The 25987-nt window shown below is 38.3% G+C and overlaps 1 long non-coding RNA gene across 3 annotated transcripts; it reads left to right on the top strand.

Moving 5' to 3' along the window:
- The first annotated feature begins 1985 nt into the window (after positions 1-1985).
- LOC124900792 (uncharacterized) lies at positions 1986-25213 on the top strand. 3 transcript variants are annotated; one of them, XR_007058292.1, is made up of 2 exons: positions 1986-2118; positions 22528-25213. It is a non-coding gene; the product is annotated as an uncharacterized LOC124900792 (long non-coding RNA). The 3 variants fall into 3 exon arrangements; XR_007058291.1 differs by lacking the exon at positions 22528-25213 and adding an exon at positions 2829-3072 and having other exon boundaries at positions 1986-2674; XR_007058290.1 differs by lacking the exon at positions 22528-25213 and adding an exon at positions 2829-3072.
- The last annotated feature ends 774 nt before the right edge of the window (positions 25214-25987 follow it).

Consider the following 25987-nt stretch of genomic DNA (forward strand, 5'->3'; position numbering starts at 1 on the left):
GGGCCTTATATGCCATATCAAGAGTTTCAAATTCTATCTTAAATGCAATGGAAAGTTATAGATAGACTTATAGTACAGGCCTGACATGACCTGGTTTTATTGTTAGAAGACGGCTACAGCATGGAGAATTGATTACAGGGAAGAAAGACTGGAATTGGAGAGACTGTTTAAGAGACTGTCACAGTACCCCAAGTAGATGATGGTGGATTTCATTAGCCTGGACAGAGGGAATAGAGAGAAAGAAATGTAGGATGTACATTGATGATGGGATATAAGGTATAAAGAAAAGGTACAAGTCAGAGAGGTTTCCCAGAGGTCTTTCCAGACAACTGAGTGGATGATAATGCCAGCTATTGTGATAGGGAATCCTGGAGAATGGTTAAATCAAGGCAAAAGGATGTGTTCCATTTTAGACATACTGACCTTGAGATCTCTGCAGGACATCCAAGAGGAGGTCTCAAGTAAGCATTTGGATACATAAGTCGCAAATTCAGGATAGAGGGCTGAATTGAAGGCATAGGTCATTAGTGATTCTACTTCTTGTTGGCAATAGAATGTGTGACAGAATTATTTTTCAATATTAACATATGCTTTGTTTTTGTTCGATAATTCTCTTTTACCCCATAACCTACCCCCATTCAGGCAACACGACTTTACCATATTAATTGTATTAAAAAAAAGGGCCAAATTCTAGACTTGTAAGTCAAAGCTCTGAAGGACTTGAGGCCCAAATTTTACATCATAAACAATAGATTCAAAATAATACATAATCAGTTAGAATTAGTTTTCCTGCCCCAAAAAAGATAAAGGGTTTGAGGGTTGGGATAGAAAAGAGTTGAAGAAGTGACAAAAATCTACACTTAGGTGGTTTCTCTGATTAGGGGCCCTATTTATTACCCTCTACCCAGACCTGCCCTGGGCTGAGTCTTAGGAAAGGGAGAGAAAACAATGGAAACCTCAGATACGTAATCAGCTTAAATATCGAGGAAACTATGTCTCAGTTCTCCTGTGAGTCCCAGGGAGCTGACAGGTTCTTCAGAGCTACCTTAACATAGGGCAGGGTAACTAAGCTATAACAGACCTGTCCTGGACAGCCTGAGTGTTCCATGCTCCAGTGAGGCATAGGAAAAAAATAGAAGTTGCTGAAAGGGAGAAGTGAGCGCTAAAGACCTATTGGTCAATATGAGAAAAACATAACAGCCATTTCAATGGATTGATGACCAAAAAGAAGATGAGAACAAAGATGTATCAAGCAATATAAAAGTCTTATTAAAATACCATTACCTTGCCCCAAATCTACATAATAGATGTTAGCTCTTGCTAGAAAAATGCTGCATAACAAACTATCCCAAACTCAGTGTCTTAAAATAAGAACTATTTAGCAAACATGTCTGCAGGTTTGCTGGGAGTTAGCTCATCTAGGTGGATGTGATGGGGGTAAATTCTGCTGGACATGTCTCTCACCCTTTTTCTAGGACTGGTGGACTAGTTGAGGCTTGTTTTTCTTATGGTGCCAGTGAAGGTACAAAGGTCGGCACATCCAAATCTGCATATGTTTCAAACCTCTGATCACATTACTCCTGCTAATATCCCACTGACATATATGCCTGCTGATATCCCACTAAGTCCCGTGGCTGAATCTGGAGTGAAGAGCTCAGGATAGCCTTGTCCAAAGGTATTCAGTAAAGAGAAAGGTGAAGAATTGGGGCCATTGATTCTGTGTCTACCACATCCACACTTAGATGAAATCCCTGGAAGTGGAGGAAGGAAATATCTATGATTTAACCACAAAAGATACAAATTAGTGACAGAAAAATAAAATCACATTGCTTGCACACCCAGGATTTCGAATTGGGATTTGAAGGAATATTACAATAGGGGCATAAACAAAATGCGAAAGGAACCCAAAGGAAAAATCCCATTCTGACATCAGAATGACATCACAAATAAGGTAACATTTGATGAAAGTCCTATGAAAGATGAGTAGAATTTTGAACAACTGAGGTTAAGCAAAAGCACGGAATCATGAAAATTATTCTTTGAAATGGCAAAGATTTCTGTGGCTGGATCATGGGATTTATTGACTGGAGCGATTTCTCCTCAGAAGACCAGACACATGTGAGCTATGCGAATCCACGGAAGTGTTGTTATCTTTCTATTTTTTCCTCGCTTATATGAAGGACTATAGGTCAGGAACTGTGCAAGAGGAGGAATGTGCATATGTTGGGGTGGGGATAGATAGGGGAGGTCTGGAATGGATAATTCATTTCAAACTCAAAAAAGCAGACTGAGAGAAGACATAGGGAGAACTGACAGAGAAACCATAAAGCTGGAAAAAGATTAGAGAAAACCACAAGAAGATCTGTTTAACCCTAATTTCTGTGTTTTTTCTGATGAAGATGTAGTATTAATTGTTTCAGAGTTCATCAGAGATCCACGTATCTTAAATCTGAGATATAAGCCAGTTGAAAACAAACATTCCACTTGAGCGGCCTTTTAATGACACAAAGGCTAAAGGGAAAAAAAAAAAAGATTTGCATAGCAATAACTATCATTGCTTTAAAGCTGCATAGACTTTTCAGAGCCCTGAACAACCACCAAATCAGGAATTCAAACCGCACCCTGGGAAGGCTGGGCTTCTTTTTGTTAAAAAGAAAAACCAAAGATCTCTGAGGTTAGTTACCAGGCAGTAAAAATCAAAAGTCCAAACTCCCCTCTAACCACTGAATATTTGCCATGTAGACCCACACCCAACTAGGATATTGCCAAAACCCCAAAAAAGTACCATGACTAAGATCCATGTCTTTCTCTGGGTACTATTTCCACAGAAAGCTTCTTATGTCTCTTCCCTGACATTTCACAAAATAGAGAAAAAGGAAAGGAAAAAAATATCCCTGAGGAAAGGCTAAGTGTAAAGAAGAATTTGATTTTGGCATTGCTTTGAGAGGTTCCACTTACTTCCTCAACCCATGGAATGCTTATTGTTGAACCAACACCGTAAGAAAGACACAGCTTCAGCTTCAATAAGACTGCACTGTATGCAAAAACATTGAATAAATGGATAAATAATAATTTTTGAACTCCTATTGTGTGCCAGAAATGGTAGTGAGAATTCTACATGTGACTCAAAGATCCTGACAAAGATTTTATAAAGTATTTTCATTATCCCCATTTTATAGATGAGAAAGCTGAGGCAGAAACAGGTTGTGTATCTTTCCCAAGGTTGACATGATAAGAAAGTAGCCGAGTCAGGATTCAGTCCCAGCACTCTGATTCCAGGGCTCATCTGCTCATGTGCTATGTTCACTGACTCCTAGAGAAGAAATTAGAAATAACACCACCCTTACATTAAACTTTCCAAAGAATATAAAAAGAGAGAACATTTTCCAACTCATTTTACGAGACCTGGATATCCTTCACTAAAAGCTGACATGGATATAATAAAAAAGGAAAATTACAGGCCACTCTGTCTTGGGAAGGTAGAAGCAAAAAAATGGTATACCAAAATACCAACAAATTGGTTTCAGAGAATTCATGCAAACAAATAAGAAAAAGATAACCCAAAAGAAAAATGCGATTTCACAAAAGAAGATATCCAAATGGTTAAAAAAAAAAAAGGAAAAAAACTTTTTTTTCCTTAAAAAACTATTAAGTGCTCAATGTCACTAGTCATCAGGGAAATGCAAATTAATGACACAACATGTCACCCAAATGATTGCAAGTAAAAAGACTGACAAGACAAGGAGCTGGTGAGTATATAAAAGAAGAGGAACTCTTGGTACAGTCACTTTGGAGAAGAGTCTAGAAGTAGCTACCATAGGTGAAGACATAAAATGCCCTATGAACCAGAAATTCAACTCCTAGGTTTTTACTCAGCAGAAATTCACATATGTGCACCAAAAGACATGTACAAAAACGTGTTTGTGACACCTTTATTCATAAGAGCCCAAAACTGGCAACAACCTAAATAACTATTAACAGTGTAATGGAAAAAATGTGATATATTTATACTAGGGAGTACTATACAGCAATAAAAATGATCTACTGCTATACACAATAATTTGAATAAATCTCACAATGTTGAGCAAGAAAAAAGCCAGGCATAAAAGTGGGCATACCCTCTATTTCCATTTACATACTGTTCTAAAATAGGCAAAACGATCTATGATGACAGAAGTCAGAAAAAGACTTATTCTCTGGGAAGTGTTTGTAGCGATTGGTAAGAGAAGAAGGATGCTGGGAATGCTTTATCTGTTGATCAGGGCATTGGTCACATGGTTGTGTCCACTTAATGTTTCAAGTATAGTTCCAGAAGTAACACCTTGGTGAGAGAGAAGGTAACCCAAATTCATGGTATGTGTATCTTAAGTGAAAGTGGTTCAACCAGGTAGAGGAACATTAAGCAGATTAAATTTCAAAATCAGCTAAATATCCATAGCATCATTTATTGAGTATCTAAAATATGCATGAAACAAATGTTAAGTCCTGAAAATAAAAAGATGAAAAGACAAACTTCCTATTAGCAAATTGTTCACAATCAAGCTGAAAAGGAGGTATAAAAATAATCTATTTCAAAACAAAGTCTGCTCTCTTGGAATTAGGCAAGTAGTTTTGAGAGTTTAGAGGAGTGAGGGAAGGCCCTCCAGAAGTGGCAACACTTAAATCTTGTAAGTTTTGCAGGGCAAAGGGCTTCAACAGCCCTTCATCAGCCCATCCGTCAGGTGGGAGAGGGAGGGGGTCTGGGCAAAGGTATTTGAAACAGTTGACTGCATTTGTAAAAGAGGACACTGAGAGAAAGCATTATCAATTATAGGAACATTAGGTAGGTAGGTATAACTAGAGCTGAAAATGCAAGACAGAAATAGAGGTGAGGCTAGGCAAGTAGTGGTCTCTTATTCCATTTTGGATTTTTATCCTGTGGGACATTGGAGCTATTAGAGCTATTGAAGAATTTTTGTTTAATCTAATGTGAAGGGTAGATGGGAGGAAGGTAAGACTGGGAAGATGAGGTAGGAGGTTTTATAAAAATTCAGGAATATATGTCAGGTTTTATTAAACAATTCAAAATCTTAGTGGCTTATAACAGCAAACATTTGTTTCTTACTTACAGGTCTGTGGGTCAGTCATGGTCGGTTTCAGCTTGGCTGGGTTGGACCAGGCTTGGCTTGGCTCTAGACTACATAGGCAGACTCATGTGTGCTCCATGGGTTTTCCTTTTCAAAATTCATGATGAAGGAGCAATGTCTTTTCTGTTCTTCTATTGGTGGATGGCAGGAGTGCAGGGAGGTAGTGGGGTGGGCAGAAACATGCAATATCTCCTAAAGCCTCTACTCAGAGCTAGCACAGCATCTCTTCTATGCACCTGCCACCAGCCAGAGTCTCATGGCCAAGCTCAATGTCTACAGGACGCAGTAGGATACTCTACCCATAGGGTGAGGAAAGAGAGAATGAACACTTGTTGAACATATTAGCTCAATCTACCACACCAGGCAAAAGATTATGAACCACTAAACTAAGGCAGACGAGTAGGAATAAACAAGAGGGGATTAAGAAACCAAGACTAACCAGATTCTGATCCTAGCTATTCTGGCTGGACAGAGATAGACTGTCTTGTGAGGAAACTAGGAAATTAAACCAAAAGTTTTAACTCAAGGAAGTGCCTGATTAGAGTTGGGTAGTCAATCTAAATCAGTTAACTAATTTGACATTAGCCCAAGATGAGAAATTTAAGAGCAAAGCCTCTCAAAGAGAGATAATGAGAGAGTAGAATTTAAATCAGTAGTAGGAGGTGGGGTCAATAACAATCTTGAGCTTATTCCAGTCCTTGAGGTAATGAGCATCCTGGGAGCTCTCAAAAGGCAGCCCCAGAACATAGAAAGAATGACAGAATAGAAGAAGTAGGAATGGGAGAGTTTAGGATGACTCCTAGCTGGGCAGGCTAACAAATTAGGTAAATACTAGGGTCCTGCTGAATTATGGGACATAGAAGAAGAGAGTTTCAGAAAAAAGATGATAAGTTCAATTTGGCTTGATTTTTTAATCTGAGCCACCTAGGTGAGCATGCCTCCTAGTGGGTTGACAATCAGGCCATAGAGCTCCTTCCTTTCATATTGTTTTCATAGTCTAGAATTCCCTTTCTCTCCTCTGTCATCCATCCAAAGTCTAAAATTTTCATGATCATTTAAACTTCCAGTGCTGTCTTCCTTCTCTGAGGTGCTTACATTTGAAATTAGCATACTTCATTTAACATGGGCCATTTGTGTTATATATACACATGCACACACGTATGCACACATAACAATTTTGTACCCAAAAGTAAACTGTAAGTTACATAATGACAAGGCCTTATGTGACTTTTGTATCTTCTTCAGAACTTTAGCACAGTACTAGAAAAATGTTGAAACCTAACTAAAAAATGCGTTTGATAATTAACTATTTCATAGTACTTTTACGACCTAGTTCAAACAATTGAGATAATTCTTATTCTTTAAATGCTTATCCTTGTGTGTATCTCCATGACTATATCTTTGTGCAATAAACAATTGTTGAAATGTTAACCTTGATTCATACTAAGTGGCAGACAAAAGTTAACCTGGTTTAAAAATTAGGTCATAATAATCAATAATCAAGAGTCTCAAGAGTTGACAGTTTGTTTTTTCCAAGATGGTAGATTAGAGGCTTTTAGCACACCTAGGCTACTTGAAAACAGCAAGATAGTACATAAAGATCAACTTTGTGAGCTTTAATTCAAGAAGAAAAACAAGAATCCACCAGAATTATGAAGGACACCCCAGATCCCGGAGAGGAGAACACTGGCAAAGAGCCTCCATGACAGTATCAGGCTGATAAAAATGAGTGAATCCCCAGTATGTAAGAGAGGCAGAGAGCCTCCCTCCGTGACTCACCTTTCCACTGGGGATCTGAGCAACCCAGGCCAAGTGAGAACACTTTGTTTCCCCCAGGCCCTGGAGCTAACTTGGGGAGAGTCTAGGAGACACTGTAAGGGAAAGATACCAGGAAAAGCTGCAGACATTTTCCTAGACTCATAACTGAGAGCAGAATGCCATTTTTAATGGCATTGGTAGGAATGTAAATTAGTTCAGCCACTTTGGAAGGTAATCTGGAGATTTTTCAAAAAAATTTAAAACAGAACGACCATTTGACACAGCAATTCCATTACTGGATATATACCCAAAAGAAAACAAATCTTTCTACCAAAAAGCACATACACTTGCATGTTCATCACAGCACTATTCACAATAGCAAAGACATGGAATCAACCTAGGTGGCCATCAGCAGTGGATTGGATTTTTAAAATCTAGTGCGTATACACAATAGAATACTACACAGCCATAACAAAGAAAAAAATCATGTCCTTTGTAGCAACGTGGATGCAGCTGGAGTCCATTATCCTAAGTGAATTAACACAGGAACAGAAAGTCACACACTGCATGTTCTCACTTACAAGTGGGAGCTAAACATTGGGTACTGATGGACATAAAGATGGCAACAATAAAAACTGGGGACTACTAGAATGGGGAGGGGGAAGGGGGAAAGAGTTGAAAGACTAAGTATTGGGTCCTATGCTCAGTACCTGCATGACAGGATCAATCGTACCCACACCTCAGCATCATGCAATATACTCAGGTAACAAACCTGCTCATGTACCCCCTGAATTTAAAATAAAAAATGGAAAAAAAAAAGAGTTGACAAGACTGAATTGTCAACTGCTTTGTGGCTTCTTTCCAAGCAGATGCCAATCAAAAGAAATAATACATGTTACAAATGTAAAAGCATCCAGAAAATCTAAGTATTTTCTTATAAGTGGTTTTGATTTTTTATATACTTTACATTCAAGTTACTGTCCATTCTATGAGAGAAGGAAGTATAGAGAGTAAATGATAAGCTCAAACTTATACAACTTTTTGTTTGGAGGCAGGAATAGAAGACAGGTCTCTAACTTTCAGAGCAGAGCACTAAGATGAAGTGAGTGTAAACTCATAACCAGCTGCTTGATCCCAGTAGAGCAGGAATAAAAGATACAATTGGGGCAGTAAAATTAAAGGGAATGTTTTTAAATCTTTTAGTTCCTTTTTTAAAGGTAGGCTTTGAAAAACTTCATTTTGTGAGGTGTTCAGTGGAGACCTGGAAAACTGCTCTTAGCATTTTAACATAAATTAAAAATCATTTAAGCAGACCTCTATTCAGCTCTTGCCAACTGCACATTTATTTTTCTGGTAAAGGAGGCTTTGCTATTGCAAATGAAGGTGAAATGAAGGCATTAGAGTTTGGGCATATCAGTGAAAAAAAAAAGAGTGAATGTGGATGTTGGATTAAGTTGCTCTCATGGCTGCAATTCCATTTATCTGGGCAAGGAATTTGCCCCCCAACAAAGTACTCTTTAAAACATTCTCTGAAAACTTAAGTTGCTGTGTAGAATCTGGAGTTGCTGCAGGTGTTTCTTAAAAGCTCATTAGCCCTCCAGAGAACTATGAAAATAAAATCACTCCAGACCTAATGAGAGTCAGAGAGCAAGGTGGTCAGGGAAGAGCTAAGTTAGGAGGGAGCTGTTTCAATTGCACCTGTATTGAGAGGTGGGTGACCTTCAAGAAGCCTGTAAGCTTAGTTCCATTTTGGATAAGCAACTGAAAGAGTGGGGGATGGGAATGGGGAAATGAAGGATAAAACATTACTTGCTAATTCTAAACATATGTAGCCTGCACATTGGTGAGTTGAGGTTGGCAAAGGGTAAAACAAAATCTTGCTGCACTGCTTTCCTCAGTGACAGCTATATTTGTTGATTTTTCCATTGGCGCCGAGCATTTTGAGTCTCCATTTTCTTAATTCTGAAACAACAGAGGGCAGTCATCTCTCACAGCTGAATACAACACTTGACATCTATGTTTTCATATAGAGAAGATCATCCTCTGTGGGCCTGCAAAACATCAGTCTCACTCAGGCCTACAGAGTAGAGAAATTTATATATCCACAGTCTGGTGGGTTCAGAGACCACAGACTACACCTCTTCCTTTCCTTCTTGGCTTCTTCCATTTCCTAAAGCATAACCAGTATCTGAATAGAATATGGCACATAAGGTTCTTCTCCACCCATTTTCTCCTATTAATAGAACATGGCAAAGGAAAAAATCCCATGAATGTCAACAGCTAACTCAATTAAAGATAGCCCACCTGGAGTGAAAATTAATCAGTAGCCTCCTCTTTTAGAAGGTGAAAGAGAAGTCAGGAAGGGATGTCACAAGTTACCATATCATGGAATGTGAGAATAACATGAACCAGGAAGCTGCATGTTCTGCAGGAACTAAGAAGACAAGGTATATTCTATGATAAGTAATGTAGCCAAAAAGCTTCTTTTTCACTGTGCTTAAGCTAGGACTGGCTGGGAAATAAAGCAGCTTTGTGAATATTTTATTAGTTCTTTCTTATGGGTGAAGTACTTCTTGTAGCAAAACTTTTATTAATTAAAAATGAGCTTTAAAAGAATAAGTTTCCTTACTTCTCCCTACACTTCTGCCAAATCTTGTCCCAGTAGGTTGTGAGAGAACCCAACTCACTAACTGTGGTCCCATTTAAAGTGTTATAAATTTTGTCCTCTTTGAAGGTACAAAGCTGAAATATTGTACACTTTGAGCAGTCTGTAAGCTCCTTGAGAGTGAGTACCATCCATATTCATCTCAATATTTAGCACAACACCTACCATTGTCTGTGATTATATTTCAATTGGTATCAACTAATATTTATAGAGAATACACATTGTGCAAAACATGTTGTTAGCATGACACGGGATATAAAGGTAATTAAGAAATTTATCCCTATTCCCAAGGTCTTTCTAAAATAGAAGAAGGTGATTAGAGATGTACAAATATTACAGTAATGCCAGGTGAAATAAGAGAAGTATCTTGAAAGAAGTGCAAATCATGAAAGAATTTTAAAGGAGAGAAAAAGCCTCTCTTTCTGGAGGTATCTGATATGGTTTGGCTCTGTGTTCCCACCCAAATCTCATATTGAATTGTAATCCCCAGTGTTGGAGGATGGGCCTGGTGGGAGGTGATTGAATCATGGGAGTGGTTTCTAATGGTTTAGCACAATCCTCCTAGTGCTGTCTTGTGATAGAGTTCCCAGGAGATCTGATTGTTTGAAAGTGTATAGCACTTTCTGCTTTGTTCTCTCTCCTGCCAGCCATGTGAAGATGTACCTGCTTCCCCTTTGCCTTCTGCCGTAATTGTAAGCTCTGAGGCCTCCCTAGAAGCAGAAGCCTGCACACCCTGCAGAATCTTTAGCTGATTAAACATCTTCTCTTTACAAATTACCCAATCTCAAGTATGTCTTTATAGCACTGTGAGAACAGACTAATACAGTATCCATGAAAGCTAACTAGAGCCAATAATTTTTTGAGATAACCCTGACAGATCAACAGGATTTAAACAGGCATAGCTGAAAAAAGAAAACTGCTTAGTGTGATATGCATACAGAGAAGAATGATTCTGTTTGGCCAAGGAAAAGGACACATAAAGAAAAGTGAATGTTAAGGCTGGAAAGGTGGATTCAGTCTAGCAGAGTTTTCTCAAGTTGCAAGTTATGAATGGATAAATATTGTCCATTCATATTTGGTATTTGGTATCTATTCATGGCCCTTTCTATTCTATATTCTGGTCCCATATGTCGAGCTCTAGAAAGCTAAATATTACATGTGCAAGACTCTTTTGCAGCTTAGGTTTTATATATGATTTAGAATCTGACAATGAGATGTATTCCTATAGAGTTTGGAAGGCAAAAAGGAGATGTGAGCCAGTGGTGTGCAGCAGTGTCAGCTAACAAGATTGAAAATTTGGAAGACATTTCAGAGAGCATTCCAGGAGTCCAGTTTTCTGAGATTATGCTGGGAAATCTCCAAAGTTAAAAGATAAGACACTGTGCCTTGAACACCCTACAACTATGAAAAAGGCAGTATTTGGTAGTCTCTTTCCATTCAGAAGGCAATGTGTATGAATATGGCATCTGAGTGTGCTCCTCTTATCCATCTACCAATTATATCAGTTATCTATCACCTTAATAATGCTATAAAACAAACCACTTCAAAATTTAGTGGCTTCAAATGAAAGTCATTTATTATTTTTATATCAGTCAACTGGGGACTTACTATTTTGGGATAGTCTCAGCTGGGAAAACTCAGCTCTTTTACACATGGTGTCATATCTTCCAGCAACCTAATACTGCACAGGATTTGGAAAAAGAAACAAACACCCAGCACCTTTTGCAGCTTCTCCTTCAGTCAAGTTATGTGTTATCCCATTGACCAATGCAAGTCTCATTGCTAAGCCCAACAACAGATAGAAAGGGACTATAAAGTTACAAGTCAAAGTGTATAGATACATGGCAGCCATTAAGTGGGGCCATTAATGCAATCATCTACCAAACTGAGTACATGTTAAAGCTGCCAGTTTTGAGTAGGGCCCAGAATAAGAGAAGGCTCTGCAGCCAGTCTAGGCTGCAGTTCAAGAAACTCTGGCTTTATGACCCAGTATATCTAATGATTTTAAAATTGTTACAGATGCAGATACTATACATGCACCCCAGCAAATGTTGATAGGAAAATCCCGAAATTATCAGAGCAAGCTATTTCCCTCTTAGGAAATACGTATTTACCAAATACTCTTGTTACATTGCAACCTCTCCACAAACTAATACACATGGCCTTATGAGGAGTTCCCTATAACTAGTTAATTGAAGAAGAAGAAAAAAATGTCAGCCCGGTTTGTAGCTGGCACCAGCCAAAATTGAACTGCTGCATATTAAAGCCCCAATTGTAAGTAGCCCAATACAAGGACAATCAGAAAAAGTAATATGTTCAATGAGCAAAACTTTATGCATTTTTTTCTTTTTTTTTCGTAAGAGCCAGTTTTAGTTGAAAGAACAAGCAGAGGAAGGATTAAAGGTCACTCGAGCTGGTAGAAACAAATATAAACCTCAGGGAATATCCGCACGGAAGCCCACACCTTTGCTGCCACACAAACACAGAGAACCACGGTGCGTGAATAACAGGAAATGTATGTTTAAGAAGTCACGTGGCATGCAAAGTGAAAACAAGGAAGCAGACTTGCCCTCAAGGTGGAAGGTCCAGCAGCGGCTTTCCAATAGGAAAGTATCCAAGTCATGGCACCAAATAAGTTAGTGGTGGAAGAGATCCGACTTACACCAAGTTACTAGTGGCCTATCTACCGGTCTGTAGCAATTTCAATTCTTGCCTCCTCAGAAGACAGAATTCGACTGAGTGGCATAAGGCAGAATTAGAGACTGAGGCAAGCTTCAAAGCAGGAGTGAACGTTTATTAAAAAGCTTTAGAAGAGTAAGGAAAGGAAGGGAAAGAGAGAGAAGGAAAGTACCGCTTGGAAGAGAGCCAAGCAGGCAACTTGAGAAACCAAGTGCACCCAATGAGCAAAGTTAAATACTGCATCTGGCTCTACACTTTGCCTGAAAGGAGAGAAAGAAGGGTTTGAATCTACAGTCCATGGGAAAGAGCTAATGGTTTGGCCAGACAGTCTTGGATGGGAAAGAAAAAAGATTAGAGAATTAGTTATGAGAAAGTCTGGAGAAAAGGCCTATTGCTGGACTCCTCAGAATGGCAGAGTAGGAGAACATTTGTGTTCCACTGAATTCTCACCACAGGGCTGGCTTCTCCGTTGAGGAGAATCCTACCTAGTGAGAAGAAGAAAACCTGTTCTGTGGATTTCATTTAGCCTTTTTCACTGGCTACCCTAGGGCTTGGTCAATAAGCATAGAAACTTACTGGCATGATAGCCGAGATGGAAGTGATGCATGACTCAGCAATATGAACTTTCTCTCACCAAGGAAGATGCAGAAAATGATACTAATGAATATCTGCTACATCAAGGAAACAGCAGAAAACACATAAATGCACACAAACACACACAGAGAGAGGGAGAGAGATGTGAGAATATTGTATCCATAAAATAGAACAGTTATGGTATTGAAAAAGGTAAAATTATTTTAGAAATAATTAGAAGTTTAAAATATAACTCGATTTAAATAATTCAATATATAGATTAAATAGAACGGAAAAACATAAATATCAAATAACTTAGCTTGAAAATTGAGATAAAAAAATTATCCCAAAACACAGTAGTAACACAGTACAAAGATATGTGAGTAGAAAACTGGAGACATAAAATATGGATGTAAGAGTTCTAATATTCAAAAAAGAGCCCAAATAGCCAAAGCAATCCTAAACAAAAAGAACACAGCTGGAGACATCACACCACCTGACTTTAAACTGCACTACAAGGCTATAGTAGCTAAAACAGCATGGTACTTGTACAAAAACAGACACATAGACAAATGGAACAAGTTAGAGAATCCAGAAATAATGGGGGTACACTTACAACTATCTGATCTTTGACAAACCTGACAAAAACAAGCAATGGGGAAAGGACACCCTATTCAGTAAATGCTACTGGGATAACTGGCTAGCCATATGCAGAAGATTGAAACTGGACCTATTCCTTACACCATATATAAAAATCAACTCAAGATGGATTAAAGATTTGAATGTAAAACCCAAAACTATAAAAATCCTAGAAGATAACCTAGGAAATACCATTTTGGACATAGGACATGTCAGAGATTTCATGACAGAAATGCCAAAAGCAATTGCAACAAAAACAAAAATTGACAAATGGTATCTAATTAAACTAAAGAACTGTTGCACAGCAAAAGAAACTATCAACAGTATAAACAGACAACCTATAGAATTGAAGAAAATATTTGCAAACTATGCATCTGACAAAGGTCTAATATCCAGAATCTATAAGGAACTTAAATAAATTAACAAGCAAAAAAACACCACCATTAAAAATTGAGCAAAGGACATAAACAGATGCTTTTCAAAAGAAGACACACATGGAGCCAACAAGCATGTGAAAAAATGCTCAACATTGCTAATTATTACAGAAATGCAAATCAAAACCACGATGAGATACCATCTCCCACCAGTCAGAATGGCTATCACTGAAAAGTCAAAAACAACAGATGTTGGTAAGGTTATGGAGAAAATGGAACCCTTAAACACTGCTGATGGGAATGTGAATTAGTTCAGCCACTGTGGAAAGCAGTTTGGCAATTTCTCAAAGAACTTAAAACAGAGTTACCATTCTGCCAAGCAATCCCATTATTTTGTATATACCAAATGAAATATAAATTATTCTACCTTAAAGATACATGCACATGTATGTTCATCATAGCATTATTCACAATAACAAAGACATTGGATCAACCTAAATGCCCATCAGCGATAAATCGGATAAAGAAAATGTAGCACATACACACCGTGGAATATATGCAGCCGTAAAAAAGAATGAAATCATCTCGTATGCAGCAACATGGATGAAACTGGAGGGTATTATCCTAAGCAAACTAATGTATGAACAGAAAAGCAAATACCACATGTTCTCATTTATAAGTGGGAGCTAAACATTGAGTACACATGGACACAAAGAAGGGAATAACAGACACTGGGGCCTTCTTTAGGGTGGAGGGAGGGAGGAAGGTGAGGATCCAAAAACTACCTATTGGTACTATGCTTTTTACCTAGGTGACAAAATAATCCGTATGCCAAACCCCTATGACACCCAATTTACCAACATAACAAACCTGCACATATACCCCTGAACCTAAAATAAAAGATAAAAATAAATAAATAAATACATAAATAAATAAAATGGAAAAGTGATGTGGGAAAAATGTTTAATCATAAGAACTCAAATACAAGTTTACACCAAACAAATCTGAAAATTAGTTGAAATAGATAATGTAGTAGAAAAAACTGAGTAAGCAAACTTGACTCAAAAAGGACCTGACACTCTGAAAAACCCAATAACTAGAAAAGAAATTTAGAAGAAATCAAAACTCTAGAAAGGGCACAATGCCCAGACAATCTTATGGGCACATTGTATTAAACCTACAAAGAACAGATAATTCCTGTATTATTTACACTGTTACAGAACATAGAAAAAAATGGAATGTTTTCAGCTCATTCTACAAATTTAACATCACACTGAACCATAACCAGATAAAAATAGAAAGAAAGAAACCCACAAAAAAAATCAAAAAATCCAAAGACAAATGGAGGCAAAAATCTCCCCAAAAATATTGGAATTTTTTATATTATACTTTAAGTTTTGGGATACATGTGCAGAAGGTGCAGATTTGTTACTAGGTATACACGTGCCATGGTGGTTTGCTGCACCCATCAACCCATCATCTATGTTAGGTATTTCTCCTAATGCTATCCCTCCCCTAGCCTCCCAACCCCCAACAGGCACTGGTGTGTGATATTCCCCTCCCTGTCTCCATATATTCTCATTGTTCAACTCCCACTTATGAGTGAAAACATGTGGTGTTTGGTTTTCTGTTCCTGTGTTAGTTTGCTGAGAATGATGATTTCCAGCTCCATGCATGTTCCTGCAAAAGACATTAACTCAACCTTTTTTATGGCTGCATAGTATTCCATGGTGTATATGTGCCACATTTTCTTTATCCAGTCTAACATGATGGGCATTTAGGTTGGTTCCAAGTTTTTGCTATTGTGAATAATGCTGCAATAAACATACATGTGCATGTGTCTTTATAGTAGAATGATTTATAATCCTTTGGGTATATACCCAGTAATGGGATTGCTGGGTCAAATGATATTTCTGATTCTAGATCCTTGAGGAATCGCCACACTGTCTTCCACAATGGGTTGAACTAATTTACATTTCCACCAATAGTGTAAAAGCATTCCTGTTTCTCCACATCCTCTCCAGCATCTGTTGTTTCCTGACTTTTTAATGAACACCATTCTAATTAGCATGAGATGATATCTCATTGTGGTTTCGATTTGCATTTCTCTAATGACCAGTGATGATGAGCTTTTTTTCATATATTTGTTGGCTGCATAAATGTCTTCTTTTGAGAAGTGTCTGTTCATATCCTTTGCCCACTTTTTGATGGTGCTGTTTTTCTTTTCTTGTAAATTTGTTTAAGTTCCTTGTAGATTCTGGATATTAGACCTTTGTCAGATGGACAGATTGCAAAAATTTTCTCCCATTCTGTAGGGTACCTGTTCAATCTGAGACAGTTTCTTTTGCTGTGCAGAAGCTCTTCAGTTTAATTAGATCCCATTTGTCAATTTTGGCTTTTATTGCCATTGCTTTTGGTGTTTCAGTCAAGAAGTTTTTGCCCATGCCTATGTCCTGAAGGGTATTGCCTAGGTTTTCTTCTAGGGTTTTTATGGTTTTGGGGTTTTTATGGTTTTAGGTCTTATGTTTAAATCTTTAATCCATCTTGAGTTAATTTTTGTATAATGTTTACATATTGAAGGGGTCCAGTTTCAGTTTTCTGCATATGGCTAGTCAGTTTTCCCAACACCATTTATTAAATAGGGAATCCTTTCCCCATTGCTTGTTTGTGTCAGGTTTGTCAAAGATCAGATGGTTGTAGATGTGTGGCATTATTTCTGAGGCCTCCGTTCTGTTCCATTGGTCTATGTATCTGATTTGGTACCAGTACCAAGCTGTTTTTGTTACTGTAGCCTTGTAGTATAGTTGGAAGTCAGGTAGCATGATGCCTCCAGCTCTGTTCTTTTTGCTTAGGATTGTCTTGACCATACGGGCTCTTTTTTGGTTCCATATGAAATTTAAAGTAGCTTTTTCTAATTCTGAAAAGTGTTGCGGGAAGTCAGGTACCCCAAACGGAGGGACCAGCTGAAGCCATGGCAGAAGAACATAAATTGTGAAGATTTCATGGACATTTATTAGTTCCCCAAATTAATAGTTTTATAATTTCTTACACCTGTCTTTACTGCAGTCTCTGAACATAAATTGTGAAGATTTCATGGACACTTATCACTTCCCCAATCAATACCCTTGTGATTTCCTATGCCTGTCTTTACTTTAATCTCTTAATCCTGCCATCTTCGTAAGCTGAGGATGAATGTCACCTCAGGACCCTGTGATAATTACGTTAACTGCACAAATTGTTTGAACAATATGAAATCTGGGAACCTTGAAAAAAGAACAGGATAACAGCAATGTTCAGGGAACAAGGGAGATAACCTTAAACTCTGGCTGTCTGTAAGCTGGGCAGAACAGAGCCATATTTCTCTTCTTTCAAAAGCAAATAGGAGAAATATCGCTGAATTCTTTTTCTCAGCAAGGAACATCCCTGAGAAAGAGAATGCGTCCCTAAGGGGAGGCCTCTGAAATGGCTGCTTTGGGGACGGCCATCTTTTACGGTCATAGATAAGGGATGAAATAAGCCCCGGTCTCCCGTAGCACTCCCAGGCTTACTAGGACGAGGAAATTCCTGCCTAATAAATTTTGGTCAGACCGGTTATCTGCTCTCAAACCCTGTCTCCTGATAAGATGTCATCAATGACAATGCATGCCCGAAACTTCATTAGCAATTTTAATTTTGCCCCGGTCCTGTGATATCACCCTGCCTCCATTTGCCTTGTGATATTTTATTACCTTGTGAAGCATGTGATCTCTGTGACCCACACCCTATTCGTACACTCCCTCTCCTTTTGAAAATCACTAATAAAAACTTGCTGGTTTTACAGCTCAGGGGACATCACGGAACCTGCCGACATGTGATATCTCCCCCGGACACCCAGCTTTAAAATTTCTCTCTTTTGTACTCTGTCCCTTTATTTCTCAGACTGGTCGACACTTAGGGAAAATTGAAAAGAACTTACATGAAATATTGGGGGTGAATTTCCCCCAGTAGAGAAGAAAGTCAATGGTAGCTTGATGGGGATGGCATTGAATATATAAATTACTTTTGGCAGTATAGCCATTTTCATGATATTGATTCTTCCTATCCATGAGCATGAAATGTTTTTCCATTTGTTTGTGTCCTCTCTTATTTCCTTGAGAAGTGGTTTGTAGCTCTCCTTGAAGAGGTCCTACACATCCCTTGTCAGTTGTATCCCTAGGTATTTTATTCTCTTTCTAGAACATAAACTATCACATAAACAGAACCAATGACAAAAACCACATGATTATCTCAACAGATGCAGAAAAGGCCTTCAATAAAATTCAACACCCCTTCATGCTAAAAACTCTCAATAAACTTGGTATTGATGGAACGTATCTCAAAATAATAAGAGCTATTTATGACAAACCCATAGCCAATATCATACTGAATGGGCAAAAACTGGAAGCATTTCCTTTGAAAATCGGCACAAGACAAGGATGCCCTCTCTCACCACTCCTATTCAACATAGTATTGGACATTCTGGCCAGGGCAATCAGGCAAGCGAAAGAAATAAAGCGTATTCAAATACGAAGAGAGGAAGTCAAATTGTCTCTGTTTGCAGATGACATGATTGTATATTTAGAAAATCCCATCATCTCAGCCCAAAACCTCCTTAAGCTGAAAAGCAACTTCAGCAAAGTCTCAGGATACAAAATCAATGTACAAAACTCACAAGCATTCCAATACACCAATAACAGACAAACAGAGAGCCAAATATTGGACATTTTAATTCAGTAGTGCATTAAGAGAATTATAGCATGAACTGGCAGTCTTTTTCACAGAAATGCTAGGACAGGTTAACATTAGTCTGTCGTTTAGTGTAATTCACTACACCAAGAGCTTAAAAAAGAAAAATGACATTATTATCTAAATACACATGAAAAAGTACTTGCTAAAACTTAATGATCACTCTTGATAAGAAAAGCTTTTATTCAGCAAACTGACAGAAGCTACCACCAGAAACCTATATGATACTTCTGATGAATCACAAAGACTACTCCCATTGAAGTTTAAAACAAGAGGAAGGTTCTGTTACTCCCTCAGTGGGAACAAACTCCAACAAAGCAAGGTAGTAAATCAAGAAACAGAAAGATATGGGATCCAGGAAGCAGGAGATACTACACAGAAGAGAGGCAAAGGAAATCCCCAGGATTACTGTGAAGGAAAATCCAGAGTGATAAATGTGCAGCAGATCTACAAAGTAAGGTACAGGAGGTTGAATGATTACTGGAAGGATAATTCAAAAAAAACTAAACTGATAGGACAGTGTTAAAATTCATTGCGACAATACGTAGACTTCAGGCAGAGAGTTTGCATACAAATTAGTAATACATTGACAAAAACTAAGCAAAGAAAAAATGAATTAATGATTAACCCTTCACAGGGAGACTTAAGAAAAATAAATACAGTATTCGATATGACTCAGTTGAAAATACTATTTATAATCATTGGGCTGGGCACAATGGCTCATGACTGTAATCCCAGCACTTTGGGAGGCCGAGGCAGGTGGATCACTTAAAGTCAGGAGTTCGAGACCAGACTGGCCAGCATGGTGAAACCCCATCTCTACTAAAAATATAAAAATTACCCCCACATGGTGGTGGGTGCCTGTAATCCCAGCTACTCAGGAGGCTGGGGCAGGAGAATCACTTGAACCCGGAAGGCAGAGGTTACAGCTAGCTGAGATCACGCCACTGCACTCCAGTATGGGTGACAAGAGTGAGACTCCATCTAAAATAAAAAATAAAATAAAAAATATAGCCATAATAACATATAATGTGTAAACTGAATACTGATTTAACCAAAATTGTGATAAAAATCATTTGGGAATATGGGGGAGGGCATATATTAGAGAGCTACTTTCTAATCTTCCATAATAGTAAGTCAATGAATAATGCTTAAAATTGAAAAAATTTAAAAGTAGTAGTATAAGCATGATATTTAGAAATATAAGTATAAAAAACAGAAGAAATAGCTATGAGAATTGAAAGTGGTTGCCACTGAGGAATGACAGAGGTGGAGAAGGATGCAGCGAGGACTGCCAGTTTCTATGTCATGTAAAACTAATTTACTAACTTAAAATACCTTCATATATTCCTTTAGTAAAAATTAAAACTAAATTCAGATTTTAAAAAACACTGACAGTATCCAGTAAGGATGCAGAGAAACATGTGTAGTCTTAGACCTGATAGCTAAGAGAATAACTTAGTACAGGCTTTTTGGAGAGCATGTTGGCAGTAATATCAAAATTTCAAATATCCTTATTATCTAATCCAATGATTCCTCCTCTGGCAAGTTATTTTAAGAAAACAACAGGACAGATGTAAAAATTTACCTAAAAGGGTGTTCACAGCATCATACTTTAAAATACTGGAACATTCTGACTATTCATGTACATTAATAAGGACTGATTAAGTACATTATATACTTCCATACAGGGGAATACCTGCAGACTTTTACAATATTGACATAAAGTAGTGGTTTCAAATCATGTTTTTGGAAGTCTATATTCATTTCTCTAGGGCTGCCATAACAAAGTACCAAAATCTAGGTGGCTTAGAAAAACAGAAATCTATTGTCTTACAGTTGTTGGCTAGAACTCTTAGATCAAGGTGTCAGCAGGGTTGGTTCCATCTGAGGGCTGTGGGGGAGAATTTCTTTCATGCTTCTCTCCTCCTTCTTGTGTTTGCTGGCAATCTCTGGGGTTCCTTGGCTTGTGGATGCACCACTCTGATATCTGCCTTTATCTTCACATGGCAGACTTCCTATGCATGTACCTGTGTCTGTGTCCAGATTTCTCTTTTTTGTAGGGACACCAATCATGTTGGATTAGGGTCCACCCTGGTAACCTCATCTTAACTTTATAAATACCCCATAAGCATTTGGTCACTTTCAAAGGAACTGGGGCAGTAGGACTTCAAAATCTTTTTACAGAACCCATAACAGAATTGTGGGGTCTCTGAGGGGTGCCTCAAAAACTATTGCAATTAACTGTTGGTCCTGAGCTGGTGAGCTCTAGATTTCCCTTGTCCACTTTAACTAGAAAAGTTCCAATTTTTATAAATTAACATTCTGAAAGTTCATCTGAAGAAAAGCTTCCACAATTTAAAATGTTTAAAAGCAACCAATATAAAACTATATTTATATATGTGCCAAATATATTGCTAATTAACAAAAGCAGTTTGCAAGCATGTGAATATGTTCCCAGTTCTATATAAGTTTTAAAAAGTCACCATCTATATCTACAGTGCTTATATTTAGATCAACACCATTTTTGGTACAACATATCCCCAAAATATTCACAGTATTAACACAGCTACAATTTTTCAAGTTCCCTTTATATTCATCTTCATGCTTTTCTATATTGTCTAGTTTTTTGCAATGATATATCTTGTAATTAAAAAAGACTATATTATTAAAGAGATAAAAAGGTGGCCAGGTGCAATGGCTCGTACCTGTAATCCTAGGAGGCCAAGGCAGGCAGATGGCTTGAGCCTAGAAGTTCACAATCAGCCCAGGCAACATGGCAAAACCCCATCTCTACAAAACTAAAAATAAAAATAGAAAAGGACATGATATTCAGTAAATACATGTTGGCAAATTGATCAATATAATTTTATTAGTCTGGCTTGGCTTATAAGAATTTCAAACTGAGGGAATTTGCATAATTATTCAAGTTCTACTCTTCAGAACATCAGTCTTTGCCATTCAAATCCTACTGATGCTCTCTGATAAAAGTGAGTCTGCAAACCCAAGTCTATTCACGGGTGAACAAATAAAATGTAGTACAAACACACAATGCAATATTATTCAGCCTTTAAAAAAATTCTGACACATAGTACAACATGGGTGAACCTTGAAGACATTATGTTAAGTGAAATAAGCCAGTCACAAAAGGACAAATGCCATACGATTCCACTTACATGAGGTATTTAGAGTGCTCAAATTCATAGACACCAAAAGTAAAATGGTAGTTACTAGGGACTGGCGGCAGGTGGAAATGAGGACTTATTGAATGAGTATGGAGTTTCAGTTTTGCGAGAAAAAAAAAAGTTCTGGAGATGGGTGGTGGTGATGGTTGCACAACAATGTGAGTGTGCTGAATACCATTGAACTGTACACTTAAAAATGGTTAAAATGGGCTGGCTGAGGTGGCTCACGCCTGGAGGCTGAGGTGAGTGGATCACCTGAGGTCTGGAGTTCGAGACCAGCCTGGCCAACATGGTGAAACCCCGTCTCTACTAATAATAACAAAAAACTTAACTGAACTTGGTGGTGCACACTTGTAATCCCAGCTACTTGGGAGGCTGAGGCGGGAGAATCACTGCAACCCAGGAGGCAGAGGTTGCAGTGAGCCGAGGTTGCAGTGAGCAGAGACCATGCCATTGCACTCCAGCCTGCGTGACAAGAGCGAAACTCCATCTCAAAAAAAAAGTTAAAATGATGACTTTTGTGCATAGTTTACCACAATTAAAAAAATAAAAATAAAAAAGAGACTTTGATCTTAAAACACTTCAAGGTAATGTGTACCTATCTGACGTTCATTTTTAATATCATAAGCTCATTTACTTATTATTTTTCATTAATGAATCATTATAACATAATCACCATTTTCATCATCCCCATCAGCATCAAAGTACTGCAAAAACAGTTGTATGCTTTATTCTAAAGATCACTTTTCATTTTCTTTATACAGGCAGCATAAATACTTTTTGGAGAAAAACACTATGAGGAGCATTGAGAAAGTCCTCATTTGGAATACTTAGCTGGACTTACCTAAACTGAACTTTCCCTTCCTTGACCCAGGGCAACCTCTGCCAAGCCCACCACCCTCCAGCTCCTACGCCATGAAAGATCGAAGAAGATAATCAGAAAAACCACCCAAGAAAAGGAAAAGGGAGAATCAGTTACATATCCAGCAAGCCAGAAAACAAGAAAACCCAAATCTGTTCCAGTTCTCTAGTTTCACCTTAAAGGCAAAGAACTGTAGATGCTTGTGAGGAGCTCTTCAAAGCCTAAATTCATAGCCTCTCTACGCGGGAGGTTACCAGCATCTGAAGAAAAACAACCACTACCAGAAAAGCTCTTCTTTGTTTTCATTCTTCGCAGTCCTTCAGGAAACTCTTGATAATGTGAAATGTTATTACTGCAAATGTTGGCTCAAGCACGTTTACTCTAGAGTCTGACTATCAGTGACTTGTTCGCAAAATAAAATCATTTTTAAAGCCTACAAGGAAAGCCAAGAGCAAACCACAAATCAGAAAACCACCAAGGCGGGCTGGCCTCATTGCCAGAATTTAATGTGATCTAATGCGAGGACAACAAGATGTGAGAATTTGATTTTACGATGTTCCATGTAACATTTGCCAATACGGAGGGGTTGGGCCCAACTTCCCCATCCTTAAGCAAACATTTGAAGTAATGTTTCACTTTCTTATCAGTTTGAATTCTGTCAGCGAGAGGGTAGAGATTCAGCCGGGCCTGCTCATTTTAAAAGTGCCATCTGCTTTGGATGCTCATAGATTTGCTTAATATCCATTTGTATAAGATGAAGATGGGCAGGTGGGGAAGGGGCCAGGAAAATAGGATGAAGCTATTTAGTGGCAGTGTACCAACTGGACTGCCACTCTCTTCTGCACTGGTGATTTATTCCATGGGTGGGAAGGCAGGAATAGGGCTAACTTAAGCAACATTCTTTCACAAGCAAAAACTAACCCCAATGAGAAAGAGTCAGATCTGGGCTGAATCACGTTGTCCAGTCTCACACCAAATGGAACTGGAGCTCAGGTGGAGCTCTATTTCCCATCACTCATTCTTTAGAAAAGAAATAAAATGGTAGCAACAGAGAAACACTTTGCATATGTCAAATTAACAGCGGAGGACCCTATGGAATAAAGAAAGCCAGTCAGGAAATCCCATAGAAGGGCACATGAGCAATGAAAAATACATTAAAGTTACATATTTCATGCAGTTTTTATTTCTGTTGCCAGGACAATGGAACAAGAATCAGATCTCTTTTTTTCCTTCTTACAGAAAAATGCAACCTTACCAATGCCAAACTCCTACTTACACTGTCATTTTATAGCAGTTACAAAGTTGGCCCAGTGAAGAAATGTAAAACGCATAGAATCAAGTTTCTTAAAGCAATAGTTTGCTAAGGGAAGTGTAATAAATACAGGGTCTAGGAAAAAATTACTAGAACTTCTATTTCTATTGACTTTTAAGCTAAACACTAAGAAGGAAAGAAAGCCTCACTAAGAGTTAAAATCTGGATGACACCAGTTGTCCTCATTTGGTGCAGATACAGACAGTCACCTCTCACCCACCACCTGTGGACTGTGAGTCTTCCTGAAAGAAGGTTGAGGGCTCAACAGTGCTGAGGGTATGATAGGGGTAGCATCAGTTCAGGTAGGCTGGGCTGCAGTAACACATAGACCAAGCAGGTAATGGCTCAACACAATAGGAAGTTAGTTCTTGCTTAGGGTGCCATTCTGGTGATGAGATCAGCAGGACAGCTCAAGCCATGCCATCACTTAGATGAGGCTCTGCCAACTTCGGCTTATGGTTAGCATAGCCATCTGCATCGCTTCCTGCAGGAAGAAGGAAGAACCTTGGAGAATCACTTCTAGGAGGCTTTTTATGGGACCAGACTGAAAGTGGTACATATTATCGAAGCTCATCCTCCATTGGCCATGACTTAGTCTCAGAGCCACAACTAACCACAAGGGAAGCCAGGAAATGTAGCCTGATTATGTGCTCAAGAAGAAGAAACAAATTATGGCAAACAGTCAGCAGTTTCTACCATAGGTGTGCTCATCCATTCAGTGGATTGCAATGTATTGCAATCGACATGTTCCCCTTACACGGATTTAACCATTTTAATAAAATTTAACCTCATAAAATGAACAGGTAGCTGAAAAATATTCCTACTACAAAGTTAAAAATTGAAGATAATATTAATAATAGGAACACAAGCCAACCACAAGAAAAGAGCAGAGCTAAAGCCTCATATTTTAAACTCTTTGTCAACAATAATGTGAGGTTTTTTTTAAAAAAAGACTATTAAATTACTTCTGGAAAGAAGTCAAACCAAATATTTTTAAAAATTTTAAGTTTATTTGAAATACAGATTTATATCCACTTTTATAATAATGAACCTTATATACCTGAAACATGGCTAATAAGAATGTGAACATACCAAAATTAGCAAAAAATTTAAGTAGCCATAAAATAAACATGGAGAAAAGCTTCTGTAATTTTATGTGCAGTTTAAAGTCGTGTTATACTTAATCTATTCTGAAAAATTTTACTAAACTTGATGAGAGATGTTTAGAGGTCTCCTTTGAGATTTCTCATTAAATAATAAAGTACAAAAAGCCACATACCATTGGGTACTCATTTTTTCTTCACTCCATAATTTAAAATGGCAAAATAACATATGTAAAACAATCTGGCAATAGGCTGGGCACGGTGGCTCACGCCTGTAATCCCAGCACTTTGGGAGGCCAAGGCGAGCAGATCACTTGATGCCAGGAGTTTGAGACCAGCCTGTGAAACGTAGCAAACCCCGCCTCTACTAAAAATTAGCTGGACATGGTGGCACACACCTATAATCCCAGCTACTCAGGTGGCTGAGGCACAAGAATCACTTGAACCTGGGAGGCAGAGGTTGCAGTGAGCTGAGATTGCACCACTGCACTCCAGCCTGGGCAATGGAGCGAGACTCTGTCACAGAAAAAAAAAAAAAATCTGGCAACAAAATTGTATTCCTTTGTTAATATAAAAAAAAAAGCTGGCCGGGTGCGGTGGCTCACGCCTGTAATCCCAGCACTTTGGGAGGCCGAGGCGGGTGGATCACGAGGTCAGGAGATTGAGACCATCCTGGCTAACACAGTGAAACTCCGTCTCTACTAAAAATACAAAAAATTAGCCAGGCGTGGTGGCAGGCGCCTGTAATCACAGCTACTCAGGAGGCTGAGGCAGGAGAATGGCGTGAACCTGGGAGGCAGAACTTGCAGTGAGCCAAGATGGCGCCACTGTACTCCAGCCTGGGTAACAGAGTGAGACTCCGTCTCAAAAAAAAAAAAAAAAATAGCTGAAGTTTTAAGAAATAATTAAAATATGTTTTGAAGTGTTGGGAGGTTGATTTACAGAAG

Source organism: Homo sapiens, chromosome 4, assembly GCF_000001405.40.
Source record: "Homo sapiens chromosome 4, GRCh38.p14 Primary Assembly".
NCBI classification, from domain to species: domain Eukaryota; kingdom Metazoa; phylum Chordata; class Mammalia; order Primates; family Hominidae; genus Homo; species Homo sapiens.